The sequence below is a fragment of the Homo sapiens genome, chromosome 4 (genome assembly GCF_000001405.40).
Source record: "Homo sapiens chromosome 4, GRCh38.p14 Primary Assembly".
Taxonomy (NCBI): domain Eukaryota; kingdom Metazoa; phylum Chordata; class Mammalia; order Primates; family Hominidae; genus Homo; species Homo sapiens.
The window spans coordinates 165,065,972-165,083,453 of record NC_000004.12 but is presented as its reverse complement, the minus strand read 5'-3'; the positions used below and the strand labels follow the sequence as shown (position 1 = coordinate 165,083,453).

Genomic DNA, 17,482 nt, shown 5'->3' with positions numbered 1-17,482 from the left:
TACCCTCGGTTTCTTGAAGCCTGGATTATACTGTCTATAATTCTCAATACGTACAGAACTATGAAAACGGAGGTGTCTTTAGTGAAATAGATTCTTTCCCCTAGAAAATACAACTTTTTTTTGTCACTTTTCACTTACCATGATCTGCCTTCTTATTTTGTTTACTCTTTTTCTTCATTCTAACCTAAATAGAGGAATAACTTTAGTATCAATTGTTGATTATCTCTTTGTTGACTTTTGGGCTTATTAAATTCAGAGACTGTTCTTCCTGACCTTGACCCTTTTCATATTTCATCTTGTTCCCCCTGAGCACTGAAGAGTTTACCTAATATTGCTCTCTTATGACTTAATGGAAAGCTTTTTAAAATGTATTCCCTTCACCTCATGGGGTTAACTTTGGGGCAATGAAATTCAGTTTATGCCGGACGTGGTGGCTCACGCCTGTAATCCCAGTACTTTGTGAGGCCGAGGCGGGTGCATCACCTGAGGTCAGAAGTTCAGACCAGCCTGGTCAGCATGGTGAAACCCTGTCTCTACTGAGTATACAAAAATTAGCCGGGCGTGGTGGTGCGCACCTGTAATCCCAGCTACTCAGGAGGCTGAGGCAGGAGAATCGCTTGGACCCGGGAGGCAGAGGTTGCAGTGAGCCGAGATCACGCCATTGCACTCCAGCCTGGGCAACGAGAGTGAAACTTTGTTCCAAAAAAAAAAAAATTCAGTTTATATTCCTCTTTTACTTTTAAAATTTGTATGGAATGCTTCTTTGAAAATGCATCTCAGTTTGAAAATTTGAATCAACTTCCAATGAAAGAAGGTAAATCTAGCCACACGTTTATCCCTTCACCCTCCCCAGATCCTTCCAAAAGGATAGTGAAGGATTAAAAAAGACCAACCTACCCACACTAGCAGAAAAACTGGAGGAGAAAGGGACCATCGATGGTTGAGTGATTTCTGAAAATGTGTGGGCTACAGAATACAGATGAAGGAGCGGTAGACAATACCACAGGGCAGAGAGGCTACATTTAGAGGACACGGGGAGAAATAAAGCCAAGGAGGCAGCCACTCTTTTTGTGTAGCCCCAGAGAGACTTGGAACTCAGAAATGAACAGGATGCCCAGGAGTGGAACATAGGGCAGGGAACAGGGATGTTAATTGAAAGTCTACTGTATATAGACGATGTCCAGGTCTGGGTGTGGTGGCTTAGGCCTGTATTCCCAGCACGTTGGGAGGCTGAGGCGGGTGGATCACTTGAGGTCAGGAGTTTAAGACCAGCCTGGTCAACGTGCTGAAACCCCATCTCTACTAAAAATATAAAAATTAGCTGGGTGTGGTGGTGCACGCCTGTAGTCCCAGCTACTCGGGAGGGTGAGGCAGGAGAATCGCGGGAACCCTGGAGGCGGAGGTTGCTGTGAGCCGAGATCATGCCACTGCACTCCAGCCTGGGCAATGGAGTGAGACTCTGTGTTGAAAAAAAAAAAAAAAAAGAAGATGGTCAGTCATGGTGGCTCACGCCTGTAATCCCAGCACTATAGGAGGCCAAGGAGGGTGGATCACTTGAGGTCAGCAGTTTGAGACCAGCCTGGTCAACATGGTGAAACCCCGTCTCTACTAAAAATACAAAAATTAGCCGGGCATGGTGGTACATGCCTGTAATCCTAGAGGCTGAGGCAGAAGAATAGCTTGAACCGGGGAGGCAGAGGTTGCAGTGAGCCGAGATTGCGCCATTGCACTCCAGCCTGGGCCACAGAGCAAGACTCGGTCTCTGCCGGACACGGTGGCTCACGCCTGTAATCCCAGCACTTTGGGAGGCCGAGGCGGGTGGATCATGGGGTCAGGATATCGAGACCATCCTGGCTAATATGGTGAAACCCCATCTCTACTGAAAAATACAAAAAAAAAAAAATTAGCCGGGCGTGATGATGGGCGCTTATAGTCCCAGCTACTCAGGAGGCTGAGGCAGGAGAATGGCATGAACCCATGAGGCGGAGTTTGCAGTGAGCTGAGATCGCACCACTGTGCTCCAGCCTGGGCAACAGAGCAAGTTTCCGTCTCAAAAAAAAAAAAATAGAGACTCGGTCTCAAAAAAAAAAAAGTCAGTATATACAAGAGTTGACTCTACTCAGAGCATATCCCTTCTCAGTTCCATCAAGATAACTTGAAAACCTTTATATAAAGAGTATTTTTTCAGTGAATAGCCCAGCTCAGAAAAAAAAAAAAAGAGTGGGAGGTTCCTAGGTGGTTTATACATATTAAGTGCTAAATGTTTGTTGTTGTGTTAACCTCTGAAGACCAGAGAGTTTAGGTAACTTATTAAGTTCACACAGTCTGTGGGTGACAAAGTCAGGATTAGAATTCAGATAGTCTTTTTCCGAATATACTTATAAATAATAGCATATTCAAAGTTTTTTTCATGTTATGCTTATAAATAATGTGGTTATTGGCTGGGCGCGGTGGCTCACACCTGTAATCCCAGCACTTTGGGAAGCTGAGGCGGGCAGATCACCTGAGGTCAGGAGTTTGAAACCAGCCTGGCCAACATGGTAAAACCCTGTCTCTACTAAAAATACAAAAATTAGCTGGGCATGGTGGCAGGCGCCTGTAATCTCAGCTACTTGGGAGGCTGAGGCAGGAGAATCGCTTAAACCCAGGAGGTGCAGGTTGCAGTGAGCAGAGATCATGCCACTGCACTCCAGCCTGGGCAACAGAGCTAGACTCTGTCTCAAAAAATAATAATAATAGTAATGTGGTTACATAGCCCATTCCTGTAACCACATTATTTATAAGCATAACTATTTATTTCTAAGAATAAATCTTTTTTGTTCACATGGGACCATTCCCATGTGATATTTTTCATGCTGAATTTCTCACTTACCATCCCTTGAAATAGTTCCCTTTTAGCACATATAGAATATCTGAGTAAAACACATCCAATAACATTTTATTTCTTGAATAGGCAATTTTTAGTCAACATTAAAATTCATCTGGCATATTATTGTCATTATCATTATCATCATCACTATTCCTAGTACTAATATCTTAAATTAGTGGAAGGAAATTAAAAACACTTTATAGCTATTACTTCTGAGCAGTGAGACCGAAGTGGGTTGGGGCAGTAGTGTAGGAAGGAGTTAGATTTTTTTTGTTTGTTTTATATACTTATATAATATTTTTATTTGTGTCAGGTGCAAAAAGATACATTTTTGTGGTATGGGAGAAAAAAGGAGAAATGCAAAAATAAACAAATGCCATACATTTAAAAAATTGTTTCCCATGGTCAGAGTAGTCTATTTTAATCGTCATCTGATTATTGAATGAATTTTGCCTTTATTTATCTTTAAACGCCATTTAAGTTGATTACTTATACTCAATTATCTTACTCTAACAAATTAGGATCCTTCTTAAATAAAGCAATGATGGCCTTTTTTAAAACATAGAGGTGTGAAAGTTTATAGCATTTTAAATTTATTTCAAGAGTAGAAGTTACTAAAATGATTTATGAAAATAATCTTATTTGGCAATATTACCCTGGCTTCTGACATCTAAGAAAAGGTGGCAAATACAATATGCTTTACTAAAAACTAGTAGGTACTCATTTGCAAAGACACTAATGAGTATTGGTGAATATGTGTAACCCATTTATATCTTGATTACTTGCAGAACTATTTCAAGCCTAGAAGAAATTGTTGAAAAGCAAGGAGACACCATTGAATACCTGAAGCGACACAATGCGCTGCTGAGTAAGCGATTGTTGGCTCTCACTTCCTCAGACCTGGGCTGTCAGCCAAGTAGAACGTGAGAGGCTCACGGTCATGACAGCAATTGCAGAGGAACCCAGAGTAATTGAGACTGACTGACCACCTGACAAGCTGCCACGGGGAACTGCAGCTTTTGCTGAATAGCATTTTACAGTGTTTGTTGGAAACCTGAATTTGGTTCTGACTTCTGTGGCTGTTTAAAATATAGGGCTTGTGGGTCACTTGAAAAGTACCTGTAGAAGCCCGGATAACTTGAGGGGAATGTCTGTTTGTACTTTTGGAAATTATTTAACTGCTTGGTTTATCCTAGGATCAGAGGCTAAACAACTCCATAGTCAACACTTTTCCACCTGACATTAGAACCCTGTAATGATTTCATTATGGATAGGGGAAGTCTAACAAGACAATCGATTTTAAACAGGGTTTTAATCAAATAAGTTCTTCCCACTTTTAAGCTGATGAAAGAAGTCATTATTTCTTGTGAATATTTTTTCCTGGAGAGCCTTATCATGTATTTTATATGCTTATGTGGTGTTGGATGACATCATGGACCATATAGCTTTTATAGAGAATTTTTCTCACCATAGGACTGAGGTCTCACCAGGTGATCTACTATGCAAATTCCTACAGTTTTCTATTCTTAAGAAATAAGGGCTGGGCACGGCGGATCATGAGGTCAGGAAATTGAGACCATCCTGGCTAACACGGTGAAACCCTGTCTCTACTAAAAATACAAAAAAAATTAGCCGAGCATGGTGGCGGGCACCTGTAGTCCCAGCCACCTGGGAGGCTGAGGCAGGAGAATGGTGTGGACCCAGGAGGCGGAGCTTGCAGTGAGCCGAGATCACGCCACTGCACTCCAGCCTGGGCGACAGAGCGAGACTCCGTCTCAAAAAAACAAAAAAGAAAAAGAAAAGAAATAAGATATGATGATTGATTACTTGGACCAGTGTTAGACCGACCTGTGTTAGACGAACCTGTGTTGCCTATTATATTGGCAGCACCTTCCATTAGCAATAGCTGAAAAATTCAGAGAAGAATTTAGAACTTTCACTTTATTTTTGCCATTCTTCAAGAAGTTGCTGTATATTTCAGTCTGGTTATACCTTCAATTGATCAATAACTTCAATTATAGGAAAGGCATCTTCTATAATTTTAAATTACTGTAAAAAAAAGATACCTTTTAAAGCCTTGGATTATACTTAAAAATTGTAATGGAAGAAATGCATATTAAGTTATATGCAGATATTAAACATATCTGATTCTGAAGATAAAACTGAAGTATTTTTCAGAGCAAATGGCATTATTTCTCCATTTTTCCTAGTATGCCCCTTTAATTTGTCAGTTTGCTGTTAGCACTGTTATATGCTGCCTTAGAAAGACTTTTGGTTGAAGGCTGAATATGAGGGGAGGGGATATTTATGACTGTGTTAATCTTTTTTGATCATTAGCTGAATATTCAATATTTGATATGTAACCATATAGGGATGTGTTCGATATAACTATATAGGCAAGGGATATATTGATTTGGCCACATCTATTTGACTTATGGAGGGCAAATACCTGTTTCTTTTAGATACAGCCATTGCCGGGGCATTCTAAAAGTTTTCTACTAAGATAAAGATGATTGTGTATGGCTGGGAGCAGTTGCTCATGCCTGTAATCTTAGTACTTTGGGAGGCTGAGGCAGGAGGATCACTCAAGGCCAGGAGTTTGAGACCAGCCTGGGCAACAATGAGACACTGTCTCTCAAAAAAAAAAAAAAAAGATCGTGTGTCACCTGCACACAACATTCACAAACTAAAGCCAAATTGTATTTTTAAAATTTCCTTTCTCCCTTCCGTTTTTTTTTGTTTTTTGGGGGTTTTTTTTTTTGTTGTTGTTTTTGAGACAGAGTCTCACCCTGTCGCCCAGGCTGGAGTGCAATGGCGCCTTTCTTTCTTTCTTTTTTTTTCAGACGGAGTCTCGCTCTGTTGCCCAGGCTGGAGCGCAGTAGCATGATCTCGGCTCACTGCAACCTCCGCCTCCCGGGATTAAGAAATTCTCCTACCTCAGCCTGCTGAGTAGCTGGGATTACAGGCACATGCCACCATGCCTGGCTAATTTTTGTATTTTTAGTACAGGCGGGGTTTCACCATGCTGGCCAGGCTGGTCTCAAACTCCTGACCTTTTGATCCGCCCTCCTTGGCCTCCCAAAGTGTTGGGATTACAGGCATGAGCCACTGTGCCCGGCCTTCCTTTCTTTTTAATAAGTGTATGTATCTCAAAGCCATTGCCTTCTCTAGAAATCTGTTTCTCTGTTCTGGAAGAGCCTATAAACTTTGCCTTCAGTTGTTTTTCTTTTCAAAAGGGAACACCAGTGGTAGATGATTAACTCTTATTTATTTTTAAAATTTAATTTGGATCTATAGTCAGTATCTGAGATTTATAGGATGAACTTTGGTTTACAAGGAACAGTGTAGTTAAAAAGTTAGGGTGCCTATGTTCTTATGTAATCATCAACATGTTTGTTGTATAATCATCAACATTTTTCTGAATGCAATGATGAACATTTCAAACAATAAATGAAAATGAAACTAAGTATCAGAAGTAGCAAAACAGCTGATGCAGTGGCTTACGCCTGTAATCCCAGCACTTCGGGAGGCTGAGGCAGGTGGATCACCTGAGGTTAGGAGCTCAAGACCAGCCTGGCCAACATAGTAAAACCCCATCTTTACTAAAAATACAAAATAAGCCAGGCATGGTGGCACGCATCTGTAATCCCAGCTACTCAGGAGGCTGAGGCAGGAGAATCGCTTGAACACAGGAGGCAGAGGTTGCAGTGAGCTGAAATTGCACCACTGCATTCCAGCTTGGGCAACAGAGCTAGACTCGATCTCAAAAAAAAAAGAAGTAACAAAACAGAAAAATGAACAAAACAATTTAAATGTTAAACATTCTATTCACCAGGCTGGTAATTGTGCTAGCACTGAGGATACAAAAATTAAAGACTCTGGTTGGCAGCTTACATTCTAAAGAGAGCGAGGAATAGATTTCCAGACTCTGTGCTAAGTGCAGTAATGACAGTAGGCCCAACATGCTGTAGGAGCTCCACGTCAGGGGGTACCCTGGGGGCAGGAGGGTAGAGGGTTTTAAGAATGTCAGACAGAACAATGAGTAAAGTAGGAAGGCAAATAGCTACAAAATATCACAAGCACTGTGTATAGCTGGAACCAAAAGTGTGAGGCAGGACCTGGGTGGAGAGGTAGACAGGGTCAGAGCTTGGAGGGCCTTGATACTATGCTGGAAGACTGCACTTTATCTTGTTGATAATGGGATCCTCTGAAGCATTTCAAGCAAGGAAGTGACAATGTCAGTTTTAGTTTCAGCAGGATCAGATGGTAGTTCAATATGGAGGAAATATGTGTGGCAGAAAGATATGGCCCTGAACTAGGGCAGGTATAGTAAACCTTTTATTATAAGTATGTATGTGTATAGGTATATAGATAGATATAGGTATATATGTATGTATATGTATTCCAAATGACAACAGTATCATGACTTATTATAAAGTTAAAAGCTCATTTTTTAAAAAATGGCAATATGGAAAAATATAAAGCAAAACAATTATTTGAAATCTCACTACCAAGGGATTATACCAATGTACACTTTTTTTGTTTTGTTTTTTTTTTTAGTCTCATCTGTCTCCCAGGCTGGAGTGCAGTGGTGTGATCTGGGCTCACTGCAACCTCCTTCTACCGGGTTCAAGCAATTCTCCTGCCTCAGCCTCCCAAGTAGCTAGTACTACAGATGCATGCCACTATTTTTTAGTACAAAAATATTAAAAATTTGGGTCGGGTGTGGTAGCTTACGCCTGTAATACCAGCACTTTGGGAGGCCAAGGTGGGTGGATCACAAGGTCAGGAGTTAGAGACCAGCCTGGCCAAGATGGTGAAACCCCATCTCTACTAAGAATACAAATATCAGCCAGGTGTGGTGCAGGGTGCCTGTAATCCCAGCTACTCTGGAGGCTAAGGCAGGAGAATTGCTTGAACCCAGCAGGTGGAGGTTGCAGTGAGGCAAGATCACGCCACTGTACTCTAGCCTGGGCCACAGAGCAGGCTCCATCTCAAAAAAAAAAAAAAATACTAAAAATTTTGTATTTCGGCTGGGCACGGTGGCTCACACCTGTAATCTCAGCACTTTGGGAGGCCGAGGCGGACAGATCACGAGGTCAGCAGATCGAGGCCATCCTGGCCAGCATGGTGAAACCCTATCTCTACAAAAAATACAAAAATATTAGCAACATTAGCTGGGTGTGGTGGTGCGCGCCTGTAATCCCAGCTACTCAGGAGGCTGAGGCAGGAGAATTGCTTGAGCCTGGGAGGCAGAGATTGCAGTGAACCAAGATGGTGCCACTGCACTCCAGCCTGGCGACAGAGCAGAGCGAGACTCCATCACAAAAAAAAAAAAAGAAAGAAAAGAAAAAAAATTGTATTTCTAGTAGAGACGGGGATTCACCATGTTGGCCAGGCTGATCTTGAATTCCTTACCTCAGGTGATCCACCTGCTTTGGCCTCCCAAAATGCTGGGATTATAGGCATGAGCCAGCTCACCTGGTCTCCATACCCTTACCAATAGTGGGTGTTACCTTATTTAAGTCTTGACCCATCTGATGAGTGTGTCATTGTTTCAAATTGTATTTCTTTGGATACTAATGAAGTGTTAAACATTTTTTCCAAATTATATGGTCTTTTATAAATCTTTTATGACATGTATATTCAAGTCCTTTGCTTATTATTGTCCCAGGATATTCTTTTTCTTAACAACTAGAATCTTCTGGTTGGGCGTGGTGGCTCCCGCCTGTAATCCCAGCACTTTGGGAGGCCAAGGCAGGCAGATCACTTGAGGTCAGGAGTTCGAGACCAGCCTGACCAACATGGAGAAACCCCATTTCTACTAAAAATACAAAATTAAGGCTGGGCGCAGTGGCTCACACCGGTAATTCCAGCACTTTGGGAGGCCGAGGCAGGCGGATCATGAGGTCAGGAGTTCGAGACCAGCCTGACCAACATGGAGAAACCCCGTCTCTACTAAAAATACAAAATAGCCAGGTGCAGTGAAGTGCACCTGTAATCCCAGCTACTCAGGAGGCTGAGGCAGGAGAATTGCTTGAACCCGGGAGGTGGAGGTTGCAGTGAGCCGAGATCGCACCACTGCACTCCAGCCTGGGTGACAGAGCGAGACTCTGTCTCAATAAATAAATAAATAAATAAATAAATCTTGAATACAAAACTCACATCTGGTAAACTCTTGAGTTCTTGAAGAATCAAACTTTGAATATGTGACAATCACAAATTTGAGATCTCAAAACATTCTCTAGGTTTCCTAAGGAAAATTGTTTCATTCGCAAACCAGGGAAGCCTATCTCTAATTCTTCTCCCTTCCTCTCTATCCAGTCTCACCTTTCACTCTACTACTCTACTGAAACTGTTCTTGGCAAGGTCACCAATAGCTTCCTTCCACATTGCTTAAATTGGAGATGAATGCATACGTCTCCTCTTTTAACTTATCAGCAACACTTGGCTCAGTTGATTGAGGGGGGGTCTGCCCCTCCACACCTGTGGGTATTTCTCGTCAGGTGGGACGAGAGACTGAGAAAAGAAATAAGACACAGAGACAAAGTATAAAGAAAGAACAGTGGGCCCAGGGGACCAGCACACCCAGCATGCGAGGACCTGCACCGGCGCCGGTCTCTTGAGTTCTGTTAGTATTTATTGATCATTATTTTTAATATCTTGACGAGGGGAGTGTAGCGGGGCAACAGGTGGGGAGAAGGTCAGCAGGGAAACGTGAGCAAAGGAATCTGTATCATGAATAAGTTCAAGGAAAGGTACTGTGTCCGGATGTGCATGTAGGCTAGATTTACGTTTCTCTTTACACAAACATTTCAGTGTAGCAAAGAGTAACAGAGCAGTATTGCTGCCAGCATATCTCGCCTCCAGCCACAGGGCAGTTTTCTCCTATCTCAGAATAGAACGAATGGGAATGGTCAGCTTTACACCGAGACATTCCATTCCCAGGGACGAGCAGGAGACAGAAGCCTTCCTCTTATCTCAACTGCAAAGAGGCCTCCCTCTTTCACTACTCCTCCTCAGCACAGACCCTTTACAGGTGTCGGGCTGGGGGATGGTAAGGCCTTTCCTTTCCCACGAGGCCGTATCTCAGGCTGTCTCAGTGGGAGGAAACCTTGGACAATACCCAGGCTTTCTTGGGCAGAGGTCCCTGCGGCTTTCCGCAGTGCATTGTGTCCCTGGTTAATCGAGAATGGAGAAAGGCGATGACTTTTACCAAGCATACCACCTGCAAACATATTGTTAACAAGGCACATCCTGCACAGCCCTAAATCCATTAAACTGATCCAATACAGCACATGTTTCTGTGAGCACAGGGTTGGGGCTAAAGTTATAGGTTAACAGCATCTCAAAGCAGAAACAATTTTTCTTAGTACAGATCAAAATGGAGTTTCTTATGTCTTCTTTTTCTACATAGACACAGTAACAATCTGATCTCTCTCTTTTCCCCACAGTTGATCACTTCCTCCTTGACTCTTTATTTCAGCTTGGCTTCCAGGACACTACATTCTCCTCATTTTCTTCTACTTCACTAGCTTCTTCTTTTGTCTGCTTTGCAAGTTGCTTTTTGTTGGTATTCTCCAGGGCTCAACCCCTGGGCCTCTTGGCTTCTCCATCAGCGTTCACTCTCTTGGTGGTCTCACACAATCTCATGACTTTGATAGAATTTATGAGCTGATAATTTCCAAATGTGAATCTTCAGCCAGGCCTTCCTCCCTGAACTCCAGACTTATGTGTCCAACTGCCCCTTCTAGATCACTACTTGGGTATATAAAAAAACACCTCAAACAGAACATGTCCCCAGCTGAGCTATCTGCCACAGTCTCTTCCACCCCTGTAATGGCAGCTCCTCTTTCTCTCAAACCCTATAGACAGTTAATCAGCAAATCCTGCTGGCTTTTCCTTTAAAACATACCCAGAGTCCAACCAATTCTTGGCACCCCCAATGCTACTTCCCCAGCCACTATAATCTTCACCTGGACTATTATAATAGTCTTTCGGTTTTTTGGTTTTGTTTTTTTTTTTTGGGGGAGGGAGTCTCGCTCTGTTGCCCAGGCTGGAGTGCAGTGGCGCGATCTGGGCTCACTGCAACCTCCGCCTCCCAGGTTCAAGTGATTCTCTTGCTTCAGCCTCCTGAGTAGCTGGGATTACCGGCACATACCACCACACCCAGCTAATTTTTTTATATTTTTAGTAGAAAGGGGGTTTCACCATGTTAGCCAGGCTGGTCTTGAACTCCGGACCTCAGGTCATCCACCCGCCTTGGCCTCCCAAAGTGCTGCAATTACAGGCATGAGTCACTGTGCCTGGCCCTATTATAATAGTGTTTTTCTTTTTCTTTTTCTTTCTTTCTTTTTTCTTGAGATGGAGTCTCACTCGTGTCGCACAGGCTGGAGTGCAGTGGCGCAGTCTCGGCTCACTACAACCTCCGCTGCCCAGGTTCAAGCAATTCTCCTTCCTCAGCCTCCTGAGTAGCTGGGATTATAGGTGTGCTTTTTTTATTTTTAGTAGAGACGAGGTTTCACCATGCTGACTAGGCTGGTCTGGAACTCCTGACCTCATGATCCTCCCTCCTTGGCCTCCCAAAGTACTGGGATTACAGGCATGAGCCACCACACCTGGCCTATAAGAGTCTTTTAAGTGATCTTTCTGCTTCTCACTACCTCTCCACCCTGACCCCCCAGCCCCATGCACACACACAAAAAGCAGCCAACAATATCCTTCTAAAACACTACTCTGATGGTTCCCTTTTTCATTCAGTAAAAGCCAAAGCCTGGACAGTGGCCTTCAGGGACCTAGAAAATCTCCACTTCCCACCCCACCCCACCTCCTCTCTCCTACTCTTCCTTTGTGTACCCTGCGTCGGTCACACTGTGGCTTTTGGATTGCTAAGCACATTCTTACCTGAGGACCTTTGCGGTTGCTGTTCCCTCTGCCTGGAAGGATCAACTCCCATATATCTTTTTCAAGTCTTTGTTCAAATGTCACTTGTGGCCAGGTGTGGTGGCTAACCCCTGTAATCCCAGCACTTTGGGAGGCTGAGGTGGGTGGATCACTTGAGGTCAGGAGTTGGGAGACCGGCCTGGCCAACACGATGAAACCCTGTCTCTACTGAAAATACAAAAATTAGCCAGGCGTGGTGGCACGTGTCTGTAATCCCAGCTATTCAGGAGGCTGAGGCAGGAGAATCACTTGAACCTGGGAGGTGGAGGTTGCAGTGAGCCAAGATCGCACAGCTGTACTCCAGCCTGGGTGACAAGAGTGAGAATCCGTCCCCCCCCCAAAAAAAAAAAATCCTCCCACTTCAGTCAGCCTCCTGAGTAGCTGGGATTATAGATGTGCACCACACCACCACACGTAACTTTTATTATAGTATATTGCTATAATTATTCTATTTTGTTATTAATGTTGTTACTCTCTGTGCCTAATTTATAAATTTAACTTTATTGTAGTTATGTGTGGATAGGAAAAAATATAGTGTTCGTAGGGTTTAGTACTATCTGTGGCTCCAGGCATCACCTGAGGTCTTGCAATGATTCCCCTGCAGACCTGTGGCTCCAGGCATCACCTGAGGTCTTGTAATGTTTCCCCTGTAGATAAGGGGAAAATACTGCATGTAACTTACTTGTTTACTTTGTCTGTGTCTCCTGATAGAATGTAAGCTCTATCTTTTGCTTACTACTGTGTCCTTCATACATAGAACAGTGTCTGGCACAAAGTAGGCACTCAATATACGTTGATGAATTAATGTCACTAACTTCAGTGATTTCACTACTGGAATTGTAGTAGAAAAACTATGCTCACACATGCTCAAAGCCTGTTCCTGTAATCCAGCTGTAACCTGGGCTCTGTTTTCACTTTCTGTTTATGATGTCCTGAACTGAGAGATTATTTTTTTAAGGTCTTGTTTAAAAGTTTATGTCTAGGATACACTAAAAAATAACAACATATCAGAAATAAAAGAGATAAGACTGCTAGTTTTTATAATCACTGCTATTTACTATTGTCCAAAAGTGCCCATCAATACAGTTGGATAAAGGAGCAGGATTAATTTGTGCATGGGATGGTTATATATTAATATCTAGAAAATTTAAGAATTAACCATTAGACATCTAGAGAATTTAAGAAAAACCATTAGAAAGCAAGGGTGGCAGACTGTAAAACATGAAGATAACAATTTTCTTACATACCAAAAAGAACCAGTTTAAAATACAATTGGAAAGGTACCATTGCCGATTGCATATAAACATATATTCAGGAATATTTGTTAACCTTTTAGAGCTCTGCTCCTACTAATCCAGTCCCATATTAATAAATATTTAAGACATTTCTGTTATTATATAGGAACTAGATGTTCAGATAGAAATTTCAAATTGGGGCGGGGCATGGTGGCTCACGTCTGTAATCCCAGCAATTTGGGAGGCCACTGCTGGAGAATCTCTTGAGCCTAGGAGTTGGAGACCAGCCTCCTGTTGAAAAGACCCTCTCTCTGTTGAAAAAAAAAATTTTTTTTTTTTGAGACGGAGTCTCACTCTGTCGCCCAGGCTGGAGTACGGTGGCGCAAACTCTGCTTACTGTAATCTCTGCCTCCCAGGTTCAAGCGATTCTCCTGCCTTAGCCTCCCTAGTGGCTGGGATTACAGGTGCCTGCCACCACGCCCAGCTAATTTTTGTATTTTTAGTAGAGACGGGGTTTCACCAGGTTGGCCAGGCTGGTCTGGAACTCCTGTTAAAGTGCTGAGATTACAGGCGTGAGCCACCACACCCAGCCCACATTTGTAATTTAAATGAATAAGATAAAAATAACCTATTAGAAAACACATGGCCATGGCCGGGCGCGGTGGCTCACGCCTGGAATCCCAGCACTTTGGGAGGACGAGGTGGGTGGATCGCGAGCTCAGATGATCGAGACCATCCTGGCTAACATGGTGAAACCCCGCCTCTACTAAAAATACAAAACATTAGCTGCGCATGGTGGCGGGCGCCTGTAGTCCCAGCAACTCGGGAGGCTGAGGCAGGAGAATGGCGTGAACCCGGGAGGCGGAGCTTGCAGTGAGCTGAGATTGTGCCACTTGCACTCCAGCCTGGGTGACAGAGCAAGACTCCGTCTCAAAAAAAAAAAAAAAAAAAAAAAAGAAAAAAGGAAAAAAAAAAAAAAGAAAACAGATGGCCAGTCATGGTGGCTCATGCCTATAATCCCAGCACTTTGGGAGGACGAGGTATGAGGATTGCTTGAGCCCAGGAGTTTGAGACCAGCCTGGGCACCTTAGTGAGGCCCCATCTCTTTATCTTTTAAAAAATAATATTAAAATAAAATAAAATAAATGGATAAAGTTAGTAGGAAACACCAGACATGTTCATAAAAATATTCACTCATATTATTGCTATTTCTTATTGTTCTGGAAGATCCAACAAAACATTTAGATAAGAAAACGTATATGGAGTTATATAGATTGCATTTTCTTATCAAATAAGGATTGACTACCAGCTAACTCCAAAGAACCTAAGTAGAAAAACTATCACAGGCTGGGTGTGGTGTCTCACGCCTATAATCCCAGCATTTTGGGAGACTGAGAGGGGCGGATCACTTGAGGTCACGATTTCAAGACAAGCCTGGCCAACATAGTGAAATCCCATCTCTACGAGAAATAAAAAAAATTAGCTGGGTGTGTTGGCAGGCACCTGTCATCTCAGCTACTTGGGAGGCTGAGGCAGGAGAATTGCTTGAACCTGGGAGACAGAGGTTGCAGTGAACCGAGATTGTACCACTGCACTCCAGCCTGGGCAACAGAGCGAGACTGTCTCAAAAAAAAAAAAAAGAAAAGAAAAGAAAAGATAAACTATCACAAAAATATATAAATAAGAGTATTCAGTAAGGTTCTGGGTGCGAAATTAATAGGTAAAAATCAGTTGCTTTAATACAAGCAACTACCAGTTAGAAGACACAATTGAAGAAAAGGCCCCATTTACAATAATAACAAAAAAGATGAAGTACCCAGATCTTTTTGAAGAAAACTTTAAAACACCACTGAAGAATAAAAAGAAGACTTGAAATGGTATGCTGTGTCCTTGGATGGAAAGTCTTGACGTCATAAACATGGCAATTCTCTCTCAATCTATGTATGAGAGGATTAATTCTACAAGGTATTAAGTGTATTATAATAATATAATAATTAAAACAGTGTGCTACTGCCCATGAATAATTACATCAATGAAACTAAATAGTAAATTTAGAAATAGACCAAAGTGTATATGAGAATTTAGTATATAAAAGATGTTGTTTCAGGCTGGGCACGGTGGCTCACACCTGTAATCTCAGCCCTGGGAGGCCAAAGTGGGTGGATCACAAGGTCAGGAGTTTGAGACCAGCCTGACCAATATGGTGAAACCCCATCTCTACTAAAAATACAAAAATGAGCCGGGCGTGGTGGTGCGTGCCTGTAGTCCCAGCTAGTCGGGAGGCTGAGGCAGGAGAATCGCTTGAACCCGGGAGGCAGAGGTTACTGTGAGCCAAGATTGCGCCACTGCACTCCAGCCTGGGCGACAGAATGAGACTCTTTCTCAAAAAAAAAAAAAAAAAAAGTCGGATGCGGTGGCTCAAGCCTGTAATCCCAGCACTTTGGGAGGCCGAGGCAGGCAGATCACGAGGTCAGGAGATTGAGACCATCCTGGCTAACACGGTGAAACCCCGTCTCTACTAAAAATACAAAAAATTAGCTGGGTGTGGTGGCAGGCGCCTGTGGTCCCAGCTACTTGGGAGGCTGAGACAGGAGAATGGCATGAACCTGGGAGGCGGATCTTGCAGTGAGCCGAGATCGCGCCACTGCACTCCAGCCTGGGCGACAGAGCGAGACTCTGTCTCAAAAAAAACAAAAACAAAACAAAAAAAGTGGTGTTTTTTGTTTTTTGTTTTTTGGAGAGGGAGTTTGCTCTTGTTGCCCTGGCTGGAGTGCAATGGTGTGATCTCATCTCACCGCAACCTCTGCCTCCGGGGTTCAAGCAATTCTCCTGCCTCAGCCTCCTGACTAGCTGGGATTACAGGCACGTGCCACCATGCCTGGCTCATTTTGTATTTTTAGTAGAGACAGGGTTTCTGTGTGTTGGTCAGGCTGGTCGTGAACTCCCTACCTCTGGAGATCCGCCTGCCTCAGCCTCCCAAGTAGCTGGGATTACAGGTGTGTGCTACCACACCCAGCTCATTTTGTACTTTTAGTAGAGACAGGATTTCACCATGTTGGTCAGGCTGGTCTCGAACTCCCCATCTCAGGTGATCCGCCCACCTCGGCCTCCAAAAATGCTGGGATTACAGTCATGACCCACCTTGCCCGGCCATATTACACCCTCCTTAATATACTTTCTTTATTTGGCTTCCAGGTCAGCACAATCTCTTGGTTTCTTCCCACCTTATTGGTGACTTCTCAGTCTCCTTTGCTGTTTCCTCTTTTTCTATACCCATTTTAATGTTTATATTCAATAAAATTCACTGTTGGTATATAGTTCTATGATTTTTGAAAAATGGTCATAAAGTTGTGTGACCAATATTACAATAGTAACAGGTTGAGACTTTGGAGATGTTGAGTTGAGGTGAAAGTATTTTGCATGTAAGACAGATGTTCATGTTTGGGACCAGAAGATGGACTGTAGTAGACAAAATCATGTCCTGGCCCCAAAGATGTTCATGTCTTAATCCCAAGAACCTATGAATATTTTAATTTACATAGCAAGAGAATTTGCAGTGTGATTAAATTAGGAATCAAGAGAGATAGTGAGATTTTCTTTAATCAGCTCTCTGGGCCCACAGTAATCTAAAAGGTCCTTTTTCTGTTTATTTTTTAAATTTATTTATTTATTTATTGTAGACATGAGGTCTCACTATGTTGTCCAGGCTGGTCTGGAACTCCTGGCCTCAAGTGATCCTCCGGTCTTGGCCTTCCAAAGTGCTGGGATTACGGGCATGAGCCACCATGCCCATCCAAAAGCATGCTTCTAAAAAGCATGAAGATACGAGAAAATATTGGAGACCATTTTTACAATCGTGGTATAGGAAATGACTTTCTATATGACTTGAAACCAGATCCACAATATGTATAATGTTTTGTAGTAATTTACACCAAGAAAAAATTTTTAATTGAAAAAAATTGTGTGTATCAGGATTAAAAATAGAGGTCATGAGGCCGGACGTGGTGGCTCACGCCTGTAATCACAGCACTTTGGGAAGCCGAGGAGGGTGGATCACCTGAGGTCAGGAGTTTGAGACCAGCCTGGCCAACATGGTGAAACCCTGTCTCTACTAAAATAAAAAAATTAGCCAGTCGTGGTGGTGCACACCTGTAACCCCAGCTACTCAGGAGGCTGAGGCAGGAGAATCGCTTGAACCCGGGAGGCAGAGGTTGCAGTGAGCCGAGATCGCACTATTGCACTCCAGCCTGGGCAACAAGAGTGAAACTCTGTCTCAAAAACAAAAAAGAGGTCATGAGATGGGAAATCCCTCAACTTCTCATAAGGAATTTATGAGACCTATATTGATCCCATCCACTCCTCCTTACCTTTTTAAATTTTCTATTATTTATGTTTTTACAATTCCACTGGAACCTTTTTTATTTTATTTTTTATT

The 17,482-nt window shown here is 42.9% G+C and overlaps 1 protein-coding gene across 2 annotated transcripts in view, besides 1 other annotated feature; it reads left to right on the top strand.

Annotated features, from left to right (window-relative positions):
- TMEM192 (transmembrane protein 192) overlaps positions 1–12,846 on the top strand; it is a 42,253-nt gene extending 29,407 nt beyond the window's left edge. For both annotated transcript variants that reach the window (XM_011531718.4, NM_001100389.2), the window contains one exon: positions 3,658–12,846. In XM_011531718.4, the coding sequence (XP_011530020.1) occupies positions 3,658–3,796 (139 nt within the window). In that variant the 3' untranslated portion in view covers positions 3,797–12,846. The remainder of the gene's footprint in view (positions 1–3,657) is intronic.
- Positions 13,586–14,085: an enhancer, noted in NCBI's record as "H3K27ac hESC enhancer chr4:165990521-165991020 (GRCh37/hg19 assembly coordinates)". NCBI's record gives its function as "activates a minimal SCP1, AML or CMV promoter by ChIP-STARR-seq in primed H9 embryonic stem cells {active_cell/tissue: H9 hESC(primed)}" and the evidence as "EXISTENCE:reporter gene assay evidence [ECO:0000049][PMID:30033119]".